The 26,978-nt window shown below is 54.0% G+C and overlaps 1 protein-coding gene across 13 annotated transcripts in view, besides 2 other annotated features; it reads left to right on the top strand.

Annotated features, from left to right (window-relative positions):
• Positions 1,877-2,073: a silencer, noted in NCBI's record as "fragment chr17:26828166-26828362 (GRCh37/hg19 assembly coordinates)". NCBI's record gives its function as "represses an EF-1alpha promoter that drives an FKBP-Casp9 reporter gene in an ReSE screen in HepG2 liver carcinoma cells {active_cell/tissue: HepG2}" and the evidence as "EXISTENCE:reporter gene assay evidence [ECO:0000049][PMID:32094911]".
• The window catches only part of FOXN1 (forkhead box N1), a 32,553-nt gene continuing 12,651 nt past the window's right edge, over positions 7,077-26,978 (top strand). For 4 of the 13 annotated variants that reach the window (XM_011525359.2, XM_017025229.2, XM_017025230.2 and 1 more), the window contains exons 1-3: positions 7,077-7,172; positions 24,690-24,821; positions 25,232-25,696. In XM_011525359.2, coding sequence (XP_011523661.1) covers positions 24,699-24,821; positions 25,232-25,696 — 588 coding nt within the window. In that variant the 5' untranslated portion in view covers positions 7,077-7,172; positions 24,690-24,698. The other 9 variants (XM_011525358.2, NM_001369369.1, XM_011525369.2 and 6 more) reach the window with 7 other exon arrangements.
• Positions 8,328-9,280: an enhancer, noted in NCBI's record as "H3K4me1 hESC enhancer chr17:26834617-26835569 (GRCh37/hg19 assembly coordinates)". NCBI's record gives its function as "activates a minimal SCP1, AML or CMV promoter by ChIP-STARR-seq in primed H9 embryonic stem cells {active_cell/tissue: H9 hESC(primed)}" and the evidence as "EXISTENCE:reporter gene assay evidence [ECO:0000049][PMID:30033119]".

Raw genomic sequence — 26,978 nt, forward strand, 5'->3', positions numbered from 1 at the left:
TTTGGCTGCGGTGGATGCCCTGGCAGAGCTCTGGGGCCAAGCCTCCCCTAGGTGCTCAGAAAACACCCTCTTTAGCAGGCAGGAGGGTGGACAGGCAGCAGGTGGCACCTGTCGGCCTAATCACCATCATTAACTGGGCAATAAAGCGGCACGGCCTGGGCTAGTCTTTGAAGGAAGGGCCCGCCAGCCAGGTCAGGTTTACACAGGCAGCCCGGCAGCTCGGCTCCACACACACTCCAGGCTGCGGCAGGTAGATGGGCCCTGCTGGGACTGAGTCTGCAGCCTCGCTGCCCAGGCACCCACACCCCATCATTGATGGCTTCTAGGAAGTTAGCAGTGAGCTTTGGGTGTCTCCTACCAGCTGGACTTGTGCGGTGCTGGGACTCAACAACTTCTGCGGTAGTGAGCATCCCATTGCTAAGATCAACAAGTCTGGAAGTGACTTGAGGACAGTCTGCCTGATTCGAGCTGTGTCCCCAGTTCCTCCACAGGGCCTGGCACAGCAAATAGTGCATGAAGGAGGAATGTGTGGGAACTATACGGGAGCTTCTTGCTCCCAGAGGGAAGCTGGACACGCTCCCCTCCAAGCCTCTTTCCAGACTGCCGTGTGTGGAGTGCTGTGTGACTTTGAGAAATATCTTGACCTCTCTGGGCCAATGTCACCTTAAGCTCAGCAGATAGGCCCAGATTTCTGAGCCGACCCATAGTGTTCCCCTGACCCTGTCCCCTGAGGTCCTGGGAGTGTCCCTGTTTCCCTACTCCCTCCTCCTGCCAGCCAGCACCAGCCCTCTATGGCAACCACAGGGCCCAGGGATAGGTGGAGCTTGTTAGGGAGCTTGTGGAGGCAGGAGCAGGGCTGTCCACACCACTCTCTGAGTTCACCTGGACCTGGGCCCCGGCCAAAGTGCGCTCTAGAGGTTAAGGTCATTGGCCCCAGAGTAGGCTCCTTGGGGGCGCAGGCCATGACTTCCTATCTCCTCACAGTCTTGGAGGGGAGGCTGCTTTCTGAAGGAGGGAGGGAAGGGTGGAGGAAGCTAGGGAGTGTTGGGTCAGGGGTCGAGTAGAACTGGGTGGGTGAAGTTCTGGTGGAGTACCAGTCTCCAACCCTGCAGCCTCCACCCCAGTTTGGCAAGGGAAGGGGAAGGGGGTGTGCAGAGGAGAAGGCAAGGAAGGGAACAGAGCAGCCTAGTTGGAAAGAATGTGACGGGGACTCAGAAGAGTGCTCTGAAGGGTGGAAAGACCCACAAATGTGTGTACGTGGAGTCACAGATCCTTGGGTACCCACAGAACCCATAGACACATGCACAGACATGGATACCCGGGAACACACAGTTACACACATTCACACACAAACACTCATGCATACAACATTACAGGCTCTCACAGCCTGAAAGACACACAGGACCACCCCCAGAAACACACACAGACATACACAGCCACAGCCACCTGTACACACACAGTCGCTCAGACGCCTCCGCACCCCGTGTCAGACCTGAGTGTTCTCGCTGCATGTGGCTACCCACATTTAGACACAGATTCTGGCACGGACATACCCAGTAGCACATTACAGCTCCACAGACTTCAGGCGCACCCATGGTGACACGTGAAAGTGAGAACACAAATGTAAATACGTACACACTCATGCAGAGGTACACATGTACTTACACAGACACTGACACCAGTGAAAACACACACACCCCAGCATTGCTTCTCCCACCTCCACAGCAGGAGGGATTAAGACAAGAGGTGAGAAGCCCTCCCCACCCAGCAGGACTCTGTGTTCCTCCCCCACCGACCCCCCCACCAAGCTCTCAGATTGGAAACTCCCTGGATTTCCCAGGGGGTCAGCCAACCAGAACAGGCTCAGACCTCGGCCCAGCTGCCCCGCCACACGCCCTCCACAGCTCTGGGTGCTTCTCCATCAGCCACAGCCAATGAGCTGTCTGCTCTTCCCCAGGAAGCTCACCCTAATTAACCCCAGATCTCCCCACCCCTTCTTTGACATGTGGTCCCTGGGCCTCAGGGCCTCATGGCAGCTTTGCTTGGGCCCTGTTCCTCTGTGGATGTTCTTCAGTGTCTTGCACACCAGTGGAGTGAGACTTGGAAAGCAGCAGGCTCAAATCTTGGGAACTCACTTTGGAAAAGCAAGTCCAGCCTGCATGAGCGGAAGCAGACAGAAGATGGCCAATCCAGATGCAGGGTTCAGGAAGGGGTCCCCCTCCTCCATCACATTGGGGCTCCCAAGGGTGGGCACATGCTCTTCCTTCTTCCTAGCGTCCCTAGGGTCTTTCCCCAGACTGAAGCATAGCAGACATGGGCCCCAGGGATTTCCATCCCCAGCCAGGGCTGTTTTCTGGCCCAAAGCAGCCCAGCCCTGGGCACAGCTCAGCAGCATACAGTGAACTGCTTCTGACCTCCAGTATTCAGAGGGACAGAGCTTTCTCTGGCCCCAGCCTGTCTAAGCATCTAGCTGCAGCTCCTCCAGGCCAGAGCCCAGCTCAGCTCCATCTGAGGACCTGAAATGAGGGTGCTGGAGTGTGTGGGACCAAAACTCCAGACAAAAGTCCTTTCCCAATACTGCAGCAGCTGGAGTTGAGGCTAGACACCAGGACAGACTTTCTGGGCCTAAGAGAGAATTCTGGAGGGCTGGTGTGATGAGAGAAGGAGGGGATGGTCCTATCTAGAGACAGAGGAGAAACACCTCACAAATCCCCTTTCAGTCCAAGGACTGTGGCAATCCCAAGGTTCCTGTTTCAACTCCCAGACTGCATGCAATGAGGAAGTCATGCTTCCCAAAGGAAAGAGGGAGCCAGAGCCAGAGCCTACACCCATTCCTGGGGCAGAGGTGGATCCTGATTTGGAAGAGAAAGAAGTTCATCTCACCCGCCAGAAGCAGTCTCACTGTGGGAGGTGATAACTACAGTCTCTCCTGGGCATCCCATCAGGGCCTCCCTGAGACCCTTGGCCCCTGAATTAATTTGCATTTTCTTGATTTTTAATGAAGTTGAAAATCGTTTCACTTGTGTCTTGGCCGTTTGTATTTTACCTGTGAATTGCTTGTGTCCTTTGCCCATTTTTCTGTGAAATCATCTTTTTATTTATTTAGAGGAGCTCCTTATATATTGTGGCTATTAACTCTCTATCTGTTACATATGTTTCAACACTTTCTTCCAGGCTATGTTATGTCTTTTAACTTTGTTCATGTTACATTTTGCTCTAAAGAAATTTACAGTTTTTATTTAGTCAAATCTGTCAATGTATTCCTTTATGGCTTCTGCATTTGATGTCATGTTTAAAAATGCCTTTCTCCACTCCATAATCATAAAAATATTTCCTATATTTTTTCTATTTGTTTGTATGATTTTCATTTTTACATTAGATTGTTAATCCATCTAGATTTTTTAATGTACAGTGTGAAGTAGGATTTAACTTTATTTCTTTCCAATGGAAAGTTCATTGCCCCAACTCCATTTATTAAATTTTTTACTTGCTACTTTAAAATACTTTACAGTCCAGATGTCGTGGCTCAAGCTTATAATACCAGTGCTTTGGGAGTTTGAGACCAGCCTGGGCAACAGAGCAACACCCCATCTCTACAAAAAAAAATTCTTTTTTAACTAACTGAGCATGGTATAACTGTAGTCCCAGCTACTGGGGAGGCTGAAGTGAGAGGATCACTTGAGTCCAGGAGGTGGAGGCTGCAGTGAGCTATGATCTTGCCACTGCACTCCAGCCTGGGCAACAGAGCGAGACCCTGTCTCAGAAAAATAAAGTAAAATACCCTACTATTATATATCTATTTTAAAATACCTTGTTATCATATTCCCATTTCTCACAAATATCCAAGTTTATTCTGGACTCTATTATCTTCCATTAATTTATTTATTTCTGTATCAAAGTTGCAGCTTTAATTATGGAAGCCTTATTGAACATTTTGAAAACTGGCAGGGAAAGTTACCTCTGTTAGTCTTCTTTCTCAAAAAGCTCCAAGCTATTCTCATGTATTTACCCTTCCCCCAAACTATAGAATCAACTCGTCAAGTTTAGGGGGCAAAAAATCCTTTAGACTTTTGATTTGAATTACATTCAGCTTCTATTTAGAGGAGAACTGACATCCTTACAATATTATATTCAGCCTTCCTGTTGTTGCTGTTTTAGAGACAGGGTCTCTCGCCTTGTAGCCCAGGCTGGTGTCAAAACTCCTGGGATCAGGCGATCCTCTCACCTCCCGAAGTGCTGGGATTACAGGCATGAGCTACCATGCCTAGCCTTTTTTTTCTTTTTTACTTTTTTTTTTTTTTTTCAGCCTTCCAGTTCAGTAACATGATATGCCCTTATTTTTTATTCAGGTCTTATTTTATGTCTGTCAGTAAAAATGTATTGTTTTCTTCATGTAGATTTCATGCATTTCTTATTAAGTTTATTCCTGGATATTTTGTATTGTTATTTTTGTGAGCTAAATCTTTTTGTCTCCTTTTTTTTCTTTCTTTTTTTTTTTTTTTTTTTTTTTTGAGACAGGGTCTCACTCTGTCCCCCAAGCTAGAATGCAGTGGCTCACCGAAACCTCTCGGCTCACTGCAACCTCTGAATCACTGGCTCAAGCAATCCTCCCACCTTAGCCTCCCAAGTAGCTGGGACTACAGGCGCGTGCCACCCCACCCAGTTAATTTCTGTATTATTCGTAGAGACAGGGTGTTGCCATGTTGCCCAGGTTGGTCTTGAACTCCTGAGCTTAAGAGATCCACCCGCCTCAGCCTCCCAAATTGCTGAGGTGTGAACCACCGTGCCCAGCTATCTCCTATTTTAATTGGTTGTTTTAGCTGTATAGAAATGGTTTTGATTTTTATACATTGATATATTCTGCTATCTTACTTCATTCTCTCATTTGTTGTAATAGTATTTTAGTCGATTCTCTTCGATTTCCTAAATAAGCACAACATTTGTAATTCTTGAAGGTTTTGCATCCTTCCTTCTTATATTAATGCCTTATTTCTTTCTCTTATTGTACTGGTTGGGGCTTTCAGAATAATGTTCATTGATAACAACCATGGCAGCCTTCAACTTACAACTTTTGTGGTTTTCTGTGCCCAGAGTATCCATACAGAAATATCTGTGAGTCTAGAAATAACAATTAGCTCTGTGTACATCAGATAGAAGCAGTTAGCAAACACCCAGGTCTTGATAGCTGCCCTTTCACTGTGAAACTCCGTAGACTATTAGGGTTAAGGGAGCAGAGCTTTGACTGCTACTGTGAGTCCCAGAGAAAGGTGGATTGAGTCAGGGCCCCTCTCCTAACCCCAGAACACAATTCTTATACTGGAGTGGGCATGCCAGCACGTCCTCATTTCTTTCCCAGCACCACTGGCCTTGGTGAAGAGAAAGGAGCCACTTGTTTACTGAGCATCTACTATATACAAGGGGTTGTGCTGAGAACTTTAGACATATAAATTTATTTAATCCTCACAACCACCCTGTGGGTGAGTATTACTCCCTTGTTAACAAATGAGGAAACTGAGGCTCAGAGTGGGGAGTATGGAAGATCACACAGCTAACCATCACTTACAAATGGGTTCATTGCTGTCTGCCCCTGCATCCTCTTTTCTGAAATGGATATTTAGTACAGAACATTTTCCGCCTCCACTAAGAACTCTCTAAATGTTTTAGCATGCTCCACACTTGTGCCAGATGACCACCACTGTGCCCCGGCCAGGGTTGATATTACCTCTCTCCTTGGAATGAGATAGTCACTGGGGAAGAGCTGACTTGTCCATACCCTCAGGCCAGAAGCCAAATCCCAGAACTTGCTGGGCAGCAGTGCTGGTACTAGGTCCTTAGAGCCTTTAGCTCCAGGAAGAGACACAAGTGGGCTTAGAGGCCAGTGCAAGGGTCAGGGAGATGGAGGAGGGAAAGAATGACCAGGGACAGGAGACAAGGGGATGGAGGGCAAAGAAGATGAAAAGGAAGCAGAGAGAAGGAGGTGAGGACAGGGTCTGGGGGAACAGCAGAGAAAGCTGTCAGGGAGCAGGGACAGGCTCCAGGCCTGAGTCCAGCTGGGACCAGGGAAGCCAATTCCTAGGGCTTCACCCTCAACATGAACTCTAAGGGGCCAGAGACCAGGGCAACAGCCACTCAGGTTTCTGTTTCTATCCTCCAAATAATGAAGAGTAGCCTGGGATGAAGACACAGAACCAGGGAGCCCCCATCTCCACCCCCACAGACACCCACATGCTCACACAGGACTAGGTTGCTGACCCACAGCAGAGACGTGTGCACAGACATGAGCATGTCAACACACGGACGACACACGGGCCTGGGTCCGGGGACACAGAGACACAGACACAGGGGAAGACATGCAGACACACGCCCACCCAGGAGACAGATGTACAGACCCAGGGAGAGATGCAGACAGACTCGCATGTATCTGCCCCTGAGGGAGAGGGAGATGGGAGTCACCAGCACATGCTCCAGTGGGTGCACACGCCCCCACCCACAAGGAGACACCCTCGAGGTGCTGCGGGAGCTGTGGAGAGACAGACAGATGGCCGGCCCCATGGACAGACAGTTCCCAGCAAATCTGTGCTAATGCTTGGCCCTTGAAGGGCCCAACCTGTCCATGCCGTGCCTCAGAGAACCCTGGGCTGCCACCCAGCGCTGTTCCCCAGAACCTCATGAGTGGGCTCCATGAGCATACATGTGGCGGCCAGGCTCTCCTGACACACGTGCATGCTCCAACAGGCCTGTGCCCCACCTGTGGGTGGGGGGGCGACATCTCCCTTCTGGAGTGCAGGCGGGGGCCACGGGACAACCCCCTCCTCTACAAGCCACAGGCTGTGCGCACTGGCAGGGACAGGGGAGGGGGCCTGGGCTAGCTCAGGAGGAGGGAGGGGTTGGGGGGCCAGGGTGCGGCTGGGGCGGGCACGGGAGCCGGTACCTGTCAAACAAGAGCCAAGGAGCAAACTAGCTTCTTAGTCACCTTTCTCTTCTCCCCGTTTTGGCGCAGCCCCTCCGGGCAAGGGGAAGCTGATATCATAATTATTGGCTCACCTGGCAGCTGCCTCCCCTCACCTGATGTCAGCACAGACACAGGACGGCCGAGCTGACGGACTGACAGACGGACAGAGCTCCTGGCCCCCCAGACCCGGGCCCCCACGCCGACCTGCTTCACTGAGCAGGTAAGAGGAGCCCCGGCCCAAGTCAGCCGTGGAGGCCAGCAGGGCCGGGCTGGGGCACGGGGAGGGCGTTCGCCTTTTTAACGGGGCTCAGGAGTGACGGGGAGCACCCAGGTTCTCACTGCAGCTCAAGGGAGACTCAGAATTCGGGTGAGTGCCTGGAGGCCAAGGGGCACCCCTTCCCCCACCTCCCCCTCCAGTTCCTTTTCTAGGTTGTCCAACTTTAATCCCTCTTGCTGTGGTGTGGGTCTCATTCTGGTGTGTGCTGGATTTTGTGTGTGTCTCTGTGTGTTGGAGATGCGCTCACCCACCCTGTGCTGGGAGGAAATGAGGACTCAAAAGTGTTAGATCTGGAAAACTAGAGCTGAAAGGCAGGGGGCCAAGTTCTCCATGTAGTGGTTTTCCAGGTGAAGAAGGGAGAGCCCAGCTCTGGGAGCTGGGGAGCACCAAGGGTGTGTGCAGATCAAGGAATTGCTCAACATCTCCACGCAGCCTGGGCTGGGGTCTAGATGCCTGGGCCCATGCAGAGGCCTGGGTTGCAGAAAGGAGATGGTGCACCTTGTGGCGAAGCAGACAGGTGGCAAACAGGTGCTGTGGCCATGAGTTGATGCTGGGCTTAGGGCAGAGTCGCCTCCTATCCCCAGCTCCATTTCTCTCCCGCAAGACCCCTAAGGCAGAGTCCTGGTGAGCAGAGCTGGGCCAGGCAGGGAGCCCTGAGGCCTTTGGGGCCTAGAGTTGGGGGCGTGGGAAGTGAAGGCCCTTAGGGAAGTGGCCGAAGCAGCAGGAAGCCCCTGCCAGCTCCCCCGACTCCTCCCCACCCACTACCCGCTCAGATAAGGTTCTGGCATTCCCCGTGGAGTCCCCCAGGCCCTCCCTAAATATCCAAAGAAGCCCGTTGGATGAAGAGTAGACTCTAGCAAGTGGGCGTGTTTGCCTCTTCTCTCGGCACCTACAGGCATGGGGGATATGTCTGGATGTGCTTTGTGGCAATGCACAACTGGTCAGTGGGAAGGGACCCGGGCGGAGGGGCTCATCTTGGGAAGTCATCCTATCCATCCCCTGCCCCTATGCCAGTCATTGCCCACATCGGGCAGGGCTGCCCCTCCTAGTTTTCCTAATCCCTGAAGGAGAAAATCTGGTCAGTTTCCTCACAATCATGAAGTCCTTCCTGGAGCCTCTCTGAAGTCTTTACTGCTGCAGGGTCCAGCTCTGCTTGCCCGGTAGCCTTCTTCCTCCCGCACTGAGGAACACTAGTTCCTCGGATCCGAGGGCGGCGTTGCACTGCAGTCCTGTCCCCACCGGGCTTGGCTCAGAACCTTTTACCATCTTGCTCATTCCCTGACCACAAGACACAGGCAGTACAAGGGCACCCCGAGTGGATGGGGGAAGGGGCAGGGCCTCCTATCCTGGTCCCTTTCTCTTGTGGCTCTGTGAGGGGTCCAGGGTGAGCCAGGCAGGGACAGAGCCAGGCTGAGTCCTGGAGAGGGGCAGACGGGGTGAGGGCTGCCCCAGGTTGGGGATCCTCAAAGGCGAAGGAGCCACAGGGAGAGGCGCATGTCCTCCCGGCTCCCCGCCCAGCCCCGCCCCGCCCGCGCTGCCTGTGCGAGCTCAGCTCCCGGCTCCAGGGCCTGCCGAGGCACGCTGCACCCCCAGGCCCGGCGCCTCACTCACTCCCAGAGCCAGAAACCTGTTCTCCCGGGAATGCCAGGGAGTTCTCAGAGGACTTTATTTCCCAGGGGCTCAGGGAGCCCCAGAATCTTCTGGACCAGTGGGTCCTGGGAAACTAGAGAAAAATTAGGGGGCTTAGGACCCCTCCCTGCTCCCCAGCTTTGTCTCATCCACGCACTGACGCCACATTGCCTCCAACCAACAGCCGTCTTCACCGTGAGAAGGCTTCATCGCGAGAAGGCTTAGGAAAGTTAAAGACAAGGGGGAAAGCCCACTGGTGACATGCACCTTCTGTCATGTGCCATCCGTTGCCTCAGGGAAAGCCTTCCTTTCCCCCCATCCCCCAGACAGTCCCATCTGGCCTCTAAGAAAGCAACATATCGCCTCTTTCCTTGGACTCTTCACCTTCTCTAGCTAGGAAGTCCTTCCTGATGTCTAACCTCTCCCTTTCTGGCTTGAGTTGACACCTGGTCTTCATGGACCAGCAGAACCCCCATTGCCTGCACAGGGCCCAGGCACATAGGCAGAGACTGTTCTAAGTCACAATGAAATGCCCTGGTTGCTTGGGCGCTGGCAGGGACAGAAAGGCCCCACTCTCGCTGCGCCTCTTATTCTCTCTGACTCCACATTCTGACGAAGTTGCGGTCCACTTCTGCCTGCCTCCCCATCTGCCCATAACAAAAGGATGGAGGGGACCGAGGTCCTGCAGGTATGCCCTCCCCTCTGTCCTTCCAAATCACAGCCTGCCATCCCTGCTGTGGCTGGCAGAGGGGAGTTCAGGAAACCAGGATTGGCTTCTGCAGCAGGAGTGACTGACAGAGTTCAGAGAAAGTTCTCAGCATTTTAGGTTGAGTTTGACTGGACTATGTGACCACAGGAGGTGGTTTCCTGAGTGGAGAGGCAACCATTGATCTGGGGTGGGTGGGGTTGGGCTGGCAACATGCCCAGGAGCTGGGGAAGGATGAGAGGACCTCCAGGAGCTGGGGAAAGACAAGATGACCTCTGGGAGAGGGCCTCCCAGAAGCACGAACCACATGGTTCCAGAATACATTGGGTCTTTCCAGCTTATTCATCTCCATCCCCTGCCCCTCCCTCCCTCTCTGTGCCCAACTCCAACCTCATCCCTGACCCTTCCACCCGTCTCTGTCTCTTTCCCCATCATAACCTATCTCCATTCCCACCTTCAATCCCGCCCAGCCCCCTTCCTACTCATCCCCGTCCCCAAACTTGCCTCCATCACCACCACCCCATCCTGCTCCTTCCTCCTTACCTCATCTCCTCACTCCCACCTCCAACCACACTCCTATCCCCATCTCCACCTCCTGCTCCATTCCTCAGGATGGATCTCCTCCTATGTCACAGGTTCCCTTGGAGTCTAACACCCCTCACCAGCATCCCCGCCAGGTTCTGGGGTGTCCCCCAGGTTGTCTGAGCATTGAGGAAAAGCCCAGAGCCATGCCAATAGACAAAACGAGCAGGACAAGATCATCCCTGGAGCAGCCCTTAGCTTCCTCATCCTATCTGGGCCGTAAAGGCTGGATGCTCACCAAACAGTAAAAATGAGTTCAGATGCAACAAGACAAGTGGAGGGCTGGCGCCCAGACAGACCTCCACACTGCGGGCATGTGGCAGTGAAGCGGGGATGGAGAGACACCCTCATAGAGCCCCAAAGCGGGGCCGGGGCAGGCTTTCTCAGGGGGCTGGGAGCGTAACTGATCCTATCAGGCATGGCGGGCCAAGGAAGAGGGGGCATGGAAGCAGGAGCAGGGATTTTTAGGGTTGATTAGGAGTGCGCATCCCCGGGTCTCTACCCTGCCTGTGGCCCTTGCTTAGTCAGCTCAGATTAATGGGGCCAGGGAGAGAATTCGCTGAATCGTGATCTCTTGGGGAACTTGACTGGAGAGCCAGCTGTGAGTCATGGAGAAAAGGGAACCTGTGCTCTCACAGCTACTCTAGAAGCTTCCAGGGGTAGGCAACCCTCCAGATCCTCCCATCCCCTTCCAGAATGCAACAGAAAGCCCACTGCAAGGTCTGACCCTCGCCCTCCACCCCATGCTCACAGGAGGATGCACTGTCAGTCAGCTCCAAATCCTGCCCTCATACACCCTCCGGGGCCTTCAGGGCTCCCCCCACTGCCTCTGACAAACTACAGCACAGAGACACACATACACACAGAGACACACACACACAGAGACACACACCCAGACACATGCACAGAGATACATACATGCACACACGCATACATATATACATACAGAGAGACACACACAGAGACACACACAGACACACGCGCACGCACACACACAGAATGAGAATGGGGTGCATCCCTGGAACCAGATTGCCTGGAGACAGTTGGAGGTCCCACTTACACTTGTAAATTCCATAGCCATGTCCCGGACTGCACCAGCCCATCAGTCTCGGAAGGCATAGAATGTACATGAGGAAGGACACACACACACACGCACACACACGCACACACACACACACACACACACACACACACACATCGCTGTGATCAGAAAACCCAATTATCAGACTCTGCACTTAGCACCCCTCCTCCACGCAGGCCCAGAGTGACCACAGCAGTCTTCACTGTCAGTGGGGGCAGTGTCCCCAGCTTCCTCTGGAGAGGGTTCCTGGAGCCCACGTTGGGCACCAAGAGCATGTGGCTTCATAGAGGTGGCTCTGCTTCTCTGTGCCTTCCCGCAAGCGTGGTCAATCTGCCTAAAGTGGGAAGGGTTTTGGAGAAAAAATTATTTGGGGTGGCAATGCCAAATCCAGTATGATCTGAGGGTGGTCAAGGGAGAAAGATGGCAGCTGGAGCCAAGGAGCTGGATGGGCTCAGGAAAATGCCCCCAGAGCCTGCCCCTTCTCCAGGGACATGATTAGGTGCTGAGAGCTGCTTCCCATAGCCCCAGCACCTGGAGGAAGGAGCAGCGCACAGATGCCTGCATAGCAGGGAACAATCTCTCCCACTGGTGGGACCTCGGTTTCCCCATCTGTCAGATAAAGAGGGGCTTGGGTGGGAGGGCCTCCCAGTGCACTTCTCACTTCAAGGCTTAGTAAGTTCAAGGAGATAACCACCTGCCCATCCCCTGTGCAAGATGGCATTGGGAGAGGAGGTGCACCAGTATGTATTTGCCTTGTACTAAATCTGTATTATTAGTAGTGGTGGCAGAATTAATATCCTTAATAATAGATTGGTATTAATGAGCAGTTCTGATAATGATATGTACAGAATGTGAGAGGCCCCTGGCCCAACGGACAGTGGGATCCTGGGCCATTTCTTTGCCCCCACTCAGGTGGACAGGCAAAGAGCGAGCGCACCAGCAGGACGAGGGCCCTCTTGACCATCCCCCTGGGGCACACCCCTAGGAAGGGCAGATGTTTGAAGGTAAAAAGATCTCACTCAGCCCCATCCCACTCCTGAAATCCTACAGGCCTGGGACCCCAGGGGAGGAGGCAGGGGCACCAGACAAGCTGGTGCTGGTTTAACTTCTGAGGATTTTGACATTCTGGTTCTCACTCGGTCCCCAGGACAGCCAGATGAGGTATGTAGGGCAAAGATGAGGACTCCATTTTATAAAGGAGGGAACAAGGTTTATTCTCATGACTAGCCCACACCGAGAGCAGAGCTGGGAAAGGACCCTCCTGCAGTCCTTGGTCGGGAGGACTCACTGTGAGGGAAAAGGGGGATTCTGTAGGGAAGCCAGGATCTGGGCTCAGTGAAGGCGTCCAGAGATTATAACGCCAGGTTACGGGGGAGGTGAGACCAAGCTCCAACATCCCTGTTGGTCTCACAGATCAAATCCTCTGCTGCCAATCACTGCCACAGCCCAACAACTCCAAAGCCAATTACCTACACAGCCCACAGGAGGCTGGGGGTGGGACCATCGGGCTCAGCCCTGGGTGACTTCATTACAGGGGTAGGACTTCCGGGCCACAGGGACCCAGAGCTAATGAGTGCTTAGAGGTCAGCCACTTCATCCCATACCCCAGCCCATTTCTCCATCCCCTTCAGCCAGTGTAGCTGGAGGAAGCTTGTTGAGGAGGGATGAAGGCAAGGCTTCACAATCTGTGCAAAAGCCTCCTGGTCCTTCACTCATGCCCCACCTCATCAGCCATTCTTTGGCCCTTATCACAGCTGGGCAGACTGAGGATTTCAGGGAACTTTCTTCTCTAGAAACCAATGTCTAAGGCCTCAGATCACTGCTTTCTGAACACTGCCCCCTGGAAGGATCAAGCAGGCAACAAGTTCCTCCTTCTCAAAAGTCCAGCTTTCCAGTCAAGCCCTGAGTGGTTCTAGGCCACCTTGTCCACCTCCAAGTCCTAGGTCAGGCCAGTTCTCACCATCAGACTCAGCCATGGCTTCAAAAAATCCCTGGGAATAGGTGAGCACCGTGGCATGCACTTTTAGTCTCATATACTCCAGAGGCTGAGGCGAGAGCCTAGGAGTTTGAGACCAGCCTGGGCAACAAAGCAAGACCCCATCTCTAGAACCTGGGGAAGGTGGAGGTGGGAGAACCTTCTCCTTAAACTGCCTGTCCAAGGGGGTTTTATGTTTTTGGAACTGGGAATTCCCCTCCCCCACTAACCTTGGCGGGGCAAGCTTGCTGACCTTGCTTCTGGGAGCAAGATGTTGGGGTAGGCTCCCAGCCTCAGAGCCTGGACTCCAGAGTAGCCAGGGAGGCAGGAGGGTGGAGGAGGCAGACCATGAATGACACCCACAAGTAAGAGCAAAAGATCCCTGGAGGCCGAGGATGCTTAGGTGGGAGGTCTCTGTCAAGGAGCATCTAAGGAGTAGGAAGAACCCAGTAGGGCTGATCTCTCAGACTAGCAGAGGAGAGAAGGGGTCCTAGTAGGTATGTCTCAGAAAGGAATGGATGGAAGCTTTGAGGGGTAGCATTTCTTGTTTCCTTGAAACCAAACACCCCTTTCTTTCCATCTACAAAATAAACATCCCCAGCTTGGCCAACATGGCAAAACCCCATCTCTGCTAAAAATACAAAAGTTAACCAGACTTGGTGCTGCCCGCCTGTAATCCCAGCTTCTTGGGAGGCTGAGGCAGGAGAATCGCTTGAACCCAGGAGGTGGAGGTTGCAGTGAGCCAAGATTGCACCACTGCACTCCACCCTGGGTGACAGAGTGAGACTTTGTCTCAAACAAACAAACAAAAAAAACCAGAATAAACATTCACGGGTAGGTCAAGGACATCCATCCATCTATCCCACTAAATATTCATCCTTTACACTACAGATACTCACAGAAATAAAAATACTTAAAATAAAAAAATAAAACATTCATCTATCTGTCTGTTGATTTGTCCATCTGTCCAGCTTTCCATCCATCAATCTCTCCATCCGATGATCTGTCCATTCATCCAACTGTTCATCTTTACATACATAAATACATCTATCTATCCACCCATCCATCCAGAGAGGTCAGGCTCTAGTTGGCCTCCCCAGGGCTGCTAGGAAGGGCCTGTGGTCCTGTGGCATTTATGGGGCATGTGACCTGCCTGCCTGGCCTGGGGAGACAGCCCCGCCTCAGCCCTCGGGCAGGGGGCCGGTCCAGGCATGTGGGAGTATTTATACCTCGATGGAGGCTCCTGGGGAGCTGCAGGCTGAATGACTCCCCGAAGCGGTGATGGTGGCCATGACCCAGAGCCCACTGTGAGTGCTTGGATTTGGCTCCTTTGGGGCCATGGCTGGGTGGCAGAGGTTAGAGAGGGGCTGGAGAGACGGGAAGGTGCCCAGAGGCAGCCAGGGATGGCGAAAAGGAAGGGGTGCTGGGCAAAGGAGAGTGGGAGACTGGTTGCTGTTGGAGTCAGGCATCTGAAGCAAAGCTGGGACCCTCCCTGCAGAAGGGATGAGTCTATTGCCCTTAAAGAGGCTCTGGTGGGTGGCTTGGTGAATGGCAGGAAGGACAGGACAAGAGGACTAAGATTACAATAAATAGGGATTAGAGATCTGGAAGAACCTCCAGGTCGGCCCAAGGCTCAAGTGCTTTTCCAGGATGGGCGTACTAGGCAATGCTCTGGGACCAGCCTGCTTCCAGAGGCACATGGGAATGCTGAAGAGTCTTTAGGAGAAGCCTGATTTGGGGACTGGAATGACTCAGCTGCAGGTGTCGGTGGCTCACATGGAGGAAAGCGTCACCTGGGGGACATGGTGGCTTTTCATCCTTTGTTCTCCCCACTCCCCTCCCTGCCCATTCTGTCCCTACCTGCTCTGTACTTGAGTCAGATCTCAAGGCAGGGGCACGCAACCCATTTTCCGAAACTGATGCTGGGTTAAGAGCCAGGGAGGCCAGAATTTTGCCCTCAGAACTTCCAACATTGATGGGGAGAAAGGAGCTAGAAACCCCCTCTTTCTTGGCATTCCCAGACCCCGAGTTTCCTTGGGTGCCCAAGCCTCAGGCAGAGCCCCCAGGTCCTTCCCTGCCACCCCCATAATTGCCGAGCTGCTCCAGGGGACCCCTCCCAGCAGCCTGTCGGGTGGAGCCCTGGGTGGGGCTACAGGCCAGCACCCGGCCGGCCGAGCCCCACCCCTCGTAAAACATGCTGCCGCAGCCAGCAACAGAAACCATTAAGGTGGAACTGAGCCGTCCCCACCTCACTCATAAAGAGTGGGTAGGAGGCCGCCAGGTGGGAGGCAGCAGGGAGCGTGAAGAGAGCCTGGGGAGGACCCTTGGTGCCCCAGGCCTGTCTGTCCCTGTGATTCAGTTGCCCACAGGGGAGGCAGGGACAGACCCTCCCAAGGAAACCTCCAACGTCGCCCCCACCCACCTTTCAGGCTTGAGCAGGGAGGCTGAGGCGTTACCAAGGTGGGGCCGTGTAGCGTAATGGTTCAGCATGCTGGCTTTGAAGCCCGGGTTGGAATCCTGGGGAGCATAATATACTAGCTGAGTGAACTTGGGCAAGTCAGGTTAACTTCTCTGAGTCTCAGTTTCCTCATCTATAAAATGGGATGATAATACAGCTCCTCCTTCCTGGGGTGTAAAAACTCAGCCAAGTCTTCCTGATCTCCTTGAGGATGTCCTCAGGGGCGCCCCACATAAAGGCAGAGGAGGGGTGAGGTCCCTGCTGACAGCTCTGTGGGCCAGATACACCTTTACAGGGTACATATCTCCACAGGGTACACACCTCTATGAGGTACACACCTCCACAGGGTACACACTTCCACAGGGTACATACCTCCAAAGAGTACAGAGTACATACCTCCACAGGGTACACACCTCCACAGAGTACACCCCTTCATAGGTGTACACATCTCCACAGGGTACACCCTCCACAGGTGTGCACATTTCCAAAGGTGTATACACTTCCACAGGTGAACATACCTCCACAGGTGAACACACTTCCACAGGGTACATACTTCCATAGGTGAACATACTTCCACAAGTGTACACCCCTTCACAGAGGTACACCCCTCCATGTGGTACATGCTTCTACAGGGTACACACTTCCACAGATGAACATACCTCCACAGGCTACACATCTCCACAGGTGTACACCCCTCCAAAAGTATAGACTTCCACAGGTGTACACACCTCCACAGGGTATACAGTTCCATTGGTGAATATACCTCCACAGGTGTACACTCCTCAACAGGTATACACCCCTCCACAAGTATACACACTTTCACAGGAGTACACCCCTCCACAGTGTACATACCTCCAAAGGTGAACACCATTCCCCAGGTGTATACACCTCCACAGATATACATACCTTCACAGGCGTACACACCTCCACAGGGTACACACTTCCACAGGTGAACATATCTCTACAGTGTCCATACCTTCACAGGGTACACATTTCCACAGGTATACCCTCCTCAACAGGTGTACACCCCTCCACAAGTATACACATTTCCACAGGGGTACACACCTCCAGAGGATCCATACTTCCACAGGGTATACAACTCCACAGGATCCATAACTCCACAGGATACACACCTCCACAGGATCCATACCTCCACAGGGTACACATCTCCACAGGGTACACACCTCCACAGGATCCTTACATCCACAGGGTACACATCTCCACAGGATCCATACCTCCACAGGGTACACACCTCCACAGGGTACACACCTCCACAGGATCCATAGCTCCAAAGGGTACACATCTCCAGAGGATACACATCTCCACAGAATCCATACCTCCACAGGGTACACACCTCTACAGGGTACACACTGCCACAGGATCCACACCTCCACAAGGTACACACCTCCACAGGTTACACACCTCCACAGGATCCATACCTCCATAGGGTACACACCTCCACAGGATCCATACCATCACGGGGTACATGCCTCCACAGAGTACATACCTCCACAGGATCCACACCTCCACAGGGTACACACTTCCACAGAGTACACACCTCCACAGGATCCATACCGCCACAGAGTACACACCTCCACAGGGTACACACCTCCGCAGGATACACACCTCCACAGGGTACACACCTCCACAGGATCCATACCTCCATAGGGTACACACCTCCGCAGGATCCATACCTCCACAGGGTACACACCTCCACTGGGTACACACCTCCACAGGATCCATACCATCACGGGGTACACGCCTCCACAGAATACATACCTCCACAGGATCCACACCTCCACAGGGTACACACTTCCACAGGGTACACACCTCCACAGGATCCATACCTCAAAAGGGTACACATCTCCACAGGGTACACACCTCCACAGGATACACACCTCCACAGGGTACACACCTCCACAGGGTACACAACTCCACTGGGTACACACCTCCACAGGATCCATACCTCCACAAGGACACACCTCCACAGGGTACACACCTCCACAGGATCCATACCTCCATAGGGTACACACCTCCGCAGGATCCATACCTCCACAGGGTACACACCTCCACAGGATCCATACCATCACAGGGTACACGCCTCCACAGAGTACATACCTCCACAGGATCCACACCTCCACAGGGTACACACTTCCACAGGGTACACACCTCCACAGGATCCATACCTCAAAAGGGTACACATCTCCACAGGGTACACACCTCCACAGGATCCACACCTCCACAGGGTACACACCTCCACAGGATACACACCTCCACAGGGTACACACCTCCACTGGGTACACACCTCCACAGGATCCATACCTCCACAGGGACACACCTCCACAGGGTACACACCTCCACAGGGTACATGCCTCCACAAGATACACACCTCCACAGGGACACACCTCCACAGGGTACAGGGTACACACCTCCACAGGGCAGACACCTCCACAGGATCCATAGTTCCATAGGGTACACACCTCCACAGGATCCATACCTCCACAGGGTACACACCTCCACAGGGTACACACCTCCATAGGGTACACACCTCCATAGGGTACTCAACTCCACAGGGTACACACCTCCACAGGGTACATACCTCCACAGGGTACATGCCTGCACAGGGTACACACCTCCACAGGATCCATACCTCCACAGGGTACACACCTCCACAGGATCCATACCTCCACAGGGTACACACCTCCACAGGGTACAGACCTCCACAGGGTACACACCTCCACAGGATCCATACCTCCACAGGGTACACACCTCCACAGGGTACAGACCTCCATAGGGTACACACCTCCACAGGGTACATGCCTGCACTGGGTACACACCTCCACAGGATCCATACCTCCACAGGGTACACACCTCCACAGGATACACACCTCCACAGGGTACACACCTCCACAGGATACACACCTCCACAGGATCCATACCTCCACAGGGTACACACCTCCACAGGATCCATACCTCCACAGGGTACACACCTCCACAGGGTACAGACCTCCATAGGGTACACACCTCCACAGGGTACATGCCTCCACTGGGTACACACCTCCACAGGATCCATACCTCCACAGGGTACACACCTCCACAGGATACACACCTCCACAGGGTACACACCTCCACAGGATACACACCTCCACAGGATCCATACCTCCACAGGGTACACACCTCCACAGGGTACACACCTCCATAGGGTACACACCTCCACATGGTACACACCTTCATAGGATCCATACCTCCATAGGGTACACACATCCACAGGGTACACACCTCCGCAGGGTACACTCCTCCACCAGGTACACACCTCCACAGGATTAGCCTCAGCATCTTTAGATGCAAATGGTCCCAGGGCCTCGTTTGACTTATAGAGGAACTGAAGTACAGAAAGGGGAAGTGAGTTATCCAACATCACACAGCCAGCACAATGTCTCCTGGCTTCCACTCCTAAACGGCCCCCTCTGCCTGAGTCCTAAGGAGCCAAGAGAAGGCTCTCTGAGAGGTGGGGAGATGTTGATGGGTAGAGCGGGCGCAGGCCGGCTGTTTGTGAGAAGGGCACAGAGCAGGAATGCAGTAATGATGACTGTTGATCCTTGATGATTATTGATCCTGTTGTCAGCCTTTCTGGGAAATTTCTCACTCGTCATCCCCTCTACTCAAGTCAAAGGGCCGTTTCTTTCTTCTCTCTGATGCCAGGGCAGATCAAGTCCACCTCTTCCATCCCCGCTCCCCAAGGATCATGGCAGGCGGAAGGTGGCCAGAATGCCCAGACGCTGAAAAGGTCTTTGGTCAAGGTTTTGCCAGGGGTGCCCTCCTGGAGAGTGAGCATCTGGCGGTATGGTCATGGCTCTCAAGAACTGAGAGTCAGATGTGGTTTTCAGTCAGCTGTGTAACCCTGCGCAGGTCATTTCTTCTCTCTGGGCCTCAATTTTCTCCCCTAAAAAAATGGGCTTGATGACCTTGCTCCCCTGACAGTGGTGTGTTGGTAAATGTTCACCAGTCAGCTTTCAAAAGTAAATAAATCATAATGTTTAAAAAGGCTCTGATTTGTAGGATTTGCTAATTTCCATGGGCAAATACTCCCACTGTGGCTGATCTCCACCAATTTCACTGGATATGGAGTTGGGAAGAAATGGGCACAATTGGCTCTCATGAGCCCTTGCCAACTGGCTCTGCACACCATTGCCCCCTACCCTCTGGGGCAAAGGGAGGATAACATGAGACAAGAGATACAAAAGTGCAGAGGGGCTGGGCGCGGTGGTGCACACCTGTAATCTCAGCACTTTGGGAGGCTAAGGCGGGAGGATCAGTTGAGCCCAGGAGGTCGAGGCTGCAGTGAGTGATGATTGTGCCACTGCACTCCAGCCTGGGCGACAGCAAGACCTTGTCTCAAAAAAAAAAAAAAGTGCAGAGGAAACTTCAGAGTGCACTGCAGATGTGGAACTGCGGCAAAGGGACCCCAGGGCACAGTCTGCCAGTGAGAGCCTCAGCCTCTAGTCCAGGAAGCAGGTGGTTGTGGGTTGTGGGTACCCATATTGAGGGGCAGTTCATGAGAGTGATCTGGAGGAGCTCCCGGAATCTGAGAAGGCAGGAGAGCTGACTGGGCCTCCTGTGCTGGTATTTGCTGATACTTGCACACACATCCCATCCAGTTCCAGTGCTCCCTGAAACTGGAACAGGCAGGATAAAGGTTGGACCTCTATGAAAGATCCCTTCTGAATGCAGATGTCAGCCCCAGGACACTGGGGCCAGCAGAGAGACCTCCCGAGAGATCCAAAACAAGAGAGTCAACCCCCCTCCTCTCCACATAAGTCCCAGAAGTTTCTACAGACACTAGCTCTACCACATGGGAAAGGCGGAAATGACCTCTGAGGCCAGAGAGTCAGGAAGAGGGAAGTTTAGCCTCTGCCAATGGGAGAGGACAATGTCAAGGACCTGGAGGTAGAAGGTAGGAGAAGGCAGGAAAGGGGAGTTCCCTTCCTGATGCTCCCGATCCCCCCACCCCCATAACTCAGGCCTTAAACAAACTCTGTCCCACTGCTAATTATTAATAATAGCTATCATTTATTGAGCATGTACTATGTGTTAAGCTATTTACAAGCAATATTTTATTAATCCTCCAGAGAGGTAAGTATTTATTAGTCCTATTTTACAGATGAGGAAACTGAGGCATGGGGAAGGAAGTTAAGCATCATGCCCAACCAAAGTCCCACAGTTCCTGCGATTCAAATCCAGCCCTGACTCCAGGTCGTCCAGCTTCAGGGGTTCTGCCGGCTACTCCAGGGAAGGGTCAGGGCCAAGGCAGCCTCATCCAGGTTCCTGCAGTGAGCCCTTCCCAGTGATGGACAGGAGCCCCTCATAAACACCAGTCAGAGGGCTTCTGACCAGCCCCTGAGGACCCCCTCTCTCCTGGGCCGTGTGGCCTTAGGAAAGTCACTTTACCTGTTCCCTGGGTCTCACTTGTAGAATAGAGCTTTAGCTGCAACCAAGGGGGCATCATGGTCACCAAATCAGGAGTCCCCACTTACAAAACCTGCCCAGAGGAATCCCAGAGGACCAGTCAGGAACCTCTGCATCCTTAATGCAAATTAAGGGGTGGGCCTCTGAACTCTGCATAACTTCCTTGGTTCTCATCCTGTCCCCGGGGGATTGGAGGAGGTAGCAGGGTGGTTTGGCCAAGCAAGGCTATGAAAGTCATGGCTGTGAACTGAAGCCTCTGTTAAGGCCTCTGACATACAGGAACTTGGCTGGAGCTGGAGATGATGTTCTGGAGAATAGGGAACAGGTGCAAGAATGGGGTGAGGCCGACACTGCGGGGATCATTCTGGGCAGGCCAGACCCTCAGGAGGTGGTGCAGGCCTGAGCTGGAGTTCAGAGAGGCCTCCCCAGGTTCACATCTGCAGGGGAGCAGTGCTGGGGTCTGAGGCCAGGCTGAGTGAAGGCCAGGCAGGCAAGGAGGGCTAGCAAGGGCAGCTGCCACCTGGGGCTGGGTCTTCAGCCAATCGCCCCAGGACTGCCAGGCCTGAGGCAACGAGAGCATCAGAGAAGCTGTAGAGCCTGGGGCCAAAGGCCCCTGCAGCCACACTTGGCCAGCAGTGGCCAGATGCATGACACATGTCCTCGAGCATTTTCCCTGTGCCAGCACCTCGTGCACACCATCCTCACGATGACCCTGCGAGGTGGGTCTGTGTGCCCCATTTCTCAGATGCGGAAAGTGAGGCACAGAGAGCTACACAGTTTGCTCAAAGTCACACAGCCAGAAAGTGACAAAGCTGGGGCTGGAATTCAGCTGGGCTTGACTCCAAATCCTTGCTCTAAAACACCGTGCTACCCCACCTGCAGGGAGGGGAGTGGCCACCCTCCCCAGGTTACAAAGCCTGAGATCTGGCGGGGAAGAAGGGCCCTCGGCCTCCCATTTGGAGCTGGAGAATGCCAGCCCCCTGCACCAAGCCCCCTGCACCACCTCCTGAGAAGGCAGCTCTGGGCCGGGGTGAGGTGTGGCCTCCAGGCAGGCCCGAGCTCTCCAGGAGGAGCTGTCCAGGGAGCAGGAGGCAGTGATGCGGAGCGGGAGGTGGGCTGCCCCGCACCTCGGGCCCCATGCCTGCTCCGCTGTGGTGTCCCGTTACGGCCAGCTCGGCGCTTCCCTGGTCACGCCACATTTAGCATTGCCGAGTGAGCAGGCGCCAGGACATCAAGAAGGGGTGGTGGGGACTCTTGAAGGGGCGGGAGAGCCTCCCACCAGGCCCCCACCTAGACCCCGGCTTCCAGCCCCTCCACCACTGATCCCCTGTGGGATCTTTGGGCAAATCCTATGGGACTTTGGGCAAATTGCCTCCCCTCATTTTCCCTGTTACCCTGTCTGTCAAATGAGGCTTATTGATGGTTTATTCAGCAAAGATGTGCCAACCCCAGCCTGGGTACCACGGGGCCAATGAGGCCACCTCTCCCTCCCAGAGCTCCGGAAAGAGCATGGCCTGGGCACAGCACAGCTGCCCTGCTCTGGCTTGAGGGGGTCTTGGGTAGAAGGAGTGAGTGTACACCTCATGCTTTTCTTGATGCCTGGCCTCCCAGCCTAGCCTACCCCAACTTTGACACCCACCCAATGAAGAAACCATAAGCAGAGTGCAGAGTCTGCAGTCGGACAGACCAGAGTTCTTGCCCCTGGGCGACTTGGGCAAGTCACATAACCCCGCTGAGCCTCAGCATCCTCATCTGGAAGGTGGAGTCAATAATGCTCCTTCCTCTCATTGTTCTAATAGATCAATGAGAAAACCATCCAAATTGTTCACACAGTGGCCAGCCCAGAGCAGACCCTCAGCAAACTGTAGCATTTATCAGAGGCCACTTGGGCAAAGAGAAGTACATTTAAGAGGAATTGCTCTTGCAGGTGGTAAAGGAAGGCAAAAAGCTGAGGATAGTAAGAGTGAGAGGCCGGGCACAGTGGCTAGGCTGTAATCCCAGCACTTTGGGAGGCCAAAGCAGGCAGATCATCTGAGGTCAGGAGTTGGAGACCAGCCTGGCCAAAATAGTGAAATCCCTTCTCTACTAAAAATACAAAAATTAGCCAGGCATGGTGGCATGTGCCTGTAGTCCCAGCTACTCTTGAGGCTGAGGCAGGAAAATCACTTGAACTCAGGAGGTGGAGGTTGAAGTGAGCCGAGAGCATGCCACCGCACTCCAGCCTAGGCAACAGAGGGAGACTCCGTCTCCAAAAAAACAAATAAATAAAAATAAAAACAAAAATACAAAAAATAGCCAGGTGTGGTGGTACAAGCCTGTAGTCCCAGCTACTCTTGAGGCTGAGGCAGGAGAGTTGCTTGAACCCGGGAGGCAGAGGTTGCAGTAAGCCAAGATGATGCCACTGCACTCCAGCCTGGGTGACAGAGAGAGACTCCATCTCAAAAAAAAAAAAAAAGTGAGAACCACACTCACAATAATATTCATAATGAGAACTGGCATTTATGGGGCACGGACTGTGCACCAGGCACTGTGCTGAATGCTTTCTGCGCATGATTTTGTTTGACACTCACAACATCTGTGTGAGGTGGGGCCTGTCACTCTCCCAGTTAGATGATGACGCTGAAGTTCAGAGAGCTTTGCTGGCACTGCTTGAGAGGAAGGGCCAACCCCGGCTTTGAGGCCTGAGTCCTCTTAACCACCCCACTGTGTTAGGGACAGGGTTCCCCTATGATTGCAGAAGGTCTGAGCAGAAAAAGCCCTCCGATATCATGTACCCAAGGCTCTAGGTCTTCATGGGGAAACTGAAGATCAGAAAGGGGCAGTGGCCTGCACAAAGTCACAGGTTAGAGTTTGGAGGACACAGGTGGAACAGCACTTGCCAGGCGCTGCAGTGTGGGTGGTGACATCGTCAGGGCCCGCTGGGCTCACAGGGCCTCCAGGCAACCGGGGGCCTTTGGGTCCCCAGTTACACACTGTGGTCACATCAGCCAGGCTGACCTGAGGGTCACTGCAGGACCAGCCTCTGCTGAGGGCTGGCTCACCTGCATGGAGGGGGTTGCTCCCACCCCAAGCATGAGTCTGACCCACGCACCAGCTCACTCTCCCCTCAGGACCACCGACTTGCCCAGTCACTGAATGGAGACCACCTGCTGTGGTCACCTTGCCAGGCCCTTCTCTGTAGACACAGGAGACCGATCTTGAGGAGCCAGAGGCAGAGCCCAGCTGGGAGCCGGGGTTTCACTGGTCAGTCGGTCAGTCTCTGCAGCTGCAGCCTGAGATCAGCCAAGCCCCTCCTGAGGCTCCTACCTGGCTCACTTTGCCCTTTCTCCACAGGGGTCTGATCTCTCTGCTCTGCTTTTCCAAACTATTTCTCTTTCTCTCTCTCGCTCTCTGGTTCTCTCTCTCTCTCTCTCTCTCTCTCTCTCTCTCTCTCTCATCAGATGGCTGACTGGAGGCAGGGTCCCAGCCCAAGGATGGGGTTGGGGTGGAGGTGGCGAACCTGGGTTGGTCCCCACTGGATGCTGGTCCTCACTCTCATGGCAGACGGCTTTCTTTGAGGCCAGGACTGGGTGATGGTGTCGCTACCCCCGCCGCAGTCTGACGTCACGCTGCCGGGCCCCACCAGACTGGAGGGCGAGCGCCAAGGGGACCTCATGCAGGCACCGGGCCTCCCAGGCTCCCCTGCCCCACAGAGTGTAAGTACCCGGCATCTGGGCCTGGGTTTAGGCCAAGGCCTGCGGCTGCCCAGGCAACAAGAAGACCAGTCACCTTACCGCCCCCAGGGACCTCCCAGGGCCTGTCTTGTCCCCTCCACCAGCAAACAAGTCCTCAGGGACCCCGAGATCCAGAGGGGTCACTCCTCATCCCTTCAGTCTGAGCCTGTCCCAGGGCTGTGAGCCCCATCAGATTTGGGGTACCCCAGGTTTCATGGCAGGGTGCCCTCATGAAATCGGGGCCAAGGGTAGGCTATTTCTTCTCCACCATTTAGGGTCTTCCCAGAGCTCAGCCATAGACCCCCTTTACCCCAGAACAGAGTAGGGTCCCAGCCAGTCCCCAGGCCTGGTTCAGCCTCCACTCACAGGCTCGCTACTCTCTGTCTACCCAGAAGCATGCCGGCTTCAGCTGCTCGTCATTTGTGTCCGACGGCCCTCCAGAGAGGACACCCTCACTGCCCCCACACAGCCCCCGCATTGCGTCACCAGGGCCCGAGCAAGTCCAGGGCCACTGCCCAGCCGGCCCCGGCCCTGGGCCCTTCAGGCTCTCACCCTCAGACAAGTATCCTGGCTTTGGCTTTGAGGAGGCCGCAGCAAGCAGCCCTGGGCGATTCCTCAAGGGCAGCCACGCGCCCTTCCACCCGTACAAGCGGCCTTTCCATGAGGACGTCTTCCCAGAGGCCGAGACCACCCTGGCCCTCAAAGGACACTCCTTTAAGACCCCAGGGCCGCTGGAGGCCTTCGAGGAGATCCCAGTGGACGTGGCGGAGGCCGAGGCCTTCCTGCCTGGCTTCTCAGCAGAGGCCTGGTGTAACGGGCTCCCCTACCCCAGCCAGGAGCATGGCCCCCAAGTCCTGGTGAGTACTAGTGGCCAGCGAGTGTCCCATCTTCCCACTGTCCCAGTTCCTAGCAGCCTAGAAAGAGTCAGACCTCTGAGACCAAAGTCCCACCTTCTCTTTGCAGACCTTGCCACTCAAGACCAGAGAGTTGGGGCCTCCTGGTCAGCTGGGGAGGGGTGTTGGCCTGGCCAGCATGGAGGGGGGCAAGTGGGGGAGGTAGGCCAGGCTAAAGAAGCTGGCAGCTTCCCAGAGGCTCCTGAGTCAGGATTCCAGTGTGTGACTTCTCACTGTTTGTTTAAATGTCCAGAAACTCCAGCCAGACCTACACACCCATATGCAAATGTGACAAGAAAAACACATTCCAGAGGCCAAGGGAAAGGGTTTGGGGAGGAGCCATAGTACACAGTTTTTCCCTCCCCAGCCTTAGCATACAGAGTTGAGAGAGGACTTTAAGTGTGGAGGGACCCTTCCTGGCCCCATTCTTTGCCCAGAGTGGGGCCTGGGTGTATTCCTGGAAATACCTTGGAAGGTTAACATGTCCTTCCATAGCCTGACCTCCATAAGCGGCGTGACCCTGGACAAGTCTTAACGTCTCTGAGCCTCATCTGAAAAGTAAGGTCAACATTACCTGTCTCATGGGATTGTTGCTTAGGGAAGATAAAAGCTAAAGGGAATTTGCTCCCTGCTCCCCCGCTCTGGTTTGGAGGTCCCTGAGGCAGTGACTGAGTGGGCGTAGCCTCAGCAGTGCCTACTCCACATGCCCACCAGCCCCCCTCACCTCTTGCTTTCAAACAGGCCCCCATTCCAGCCCCAAGCCACCCCAACAAAGGCTTAGAAGGAAGATGGAGAAGGCGGTTGGGTCCTACCAGGTGTGGCCAAAACAGGACTTTATTCTGGCCCTTTGACCACTTCTTCTCAGGCCCCTTAAACATGACCACAGCCTACAGATAGGGCACCATCATCTCAGCTACTGCCCCCAAACCTCCACTCAATAACAGCTGCCAATCATTCTGCCAGGTGCTTTCTTTCAAGTGCCCCCATTTAATCCCCTCAACAACACTCTAGAGAGTTCCCACCATACCCGTGTTGCAGATGAGGAAACTGAGGCTCATAGAGGCCAAGTGACTTGCCCAGGGTGTCTCCTAACCTGCAAATGGTGAGGCTGAGATTGAGTTCACACCCTTGCCCTCCCACACATGGAGAAGAGCTCCAGAGACACACAGGTATCTGGTCGACTTGCTGGGTGACCTTGGGCATATTGCTTCCCCTCTTTGGGCTCAGCCCCATCATCTGTCAAATG

This window comes from Homo sapiens, chromosome 17 (genome assembly GCF_000001405.40).
Source record: "Homo sapiens chromosome 17, GRCh38.p14 Primary Assembly".
Classification (NCBI taxonomy): domain Eukaryota; kingdom Metazoa; phylum Chordata; class Mammalia; order Primates; family Hominidae; genus Homo; species Homo sapiens.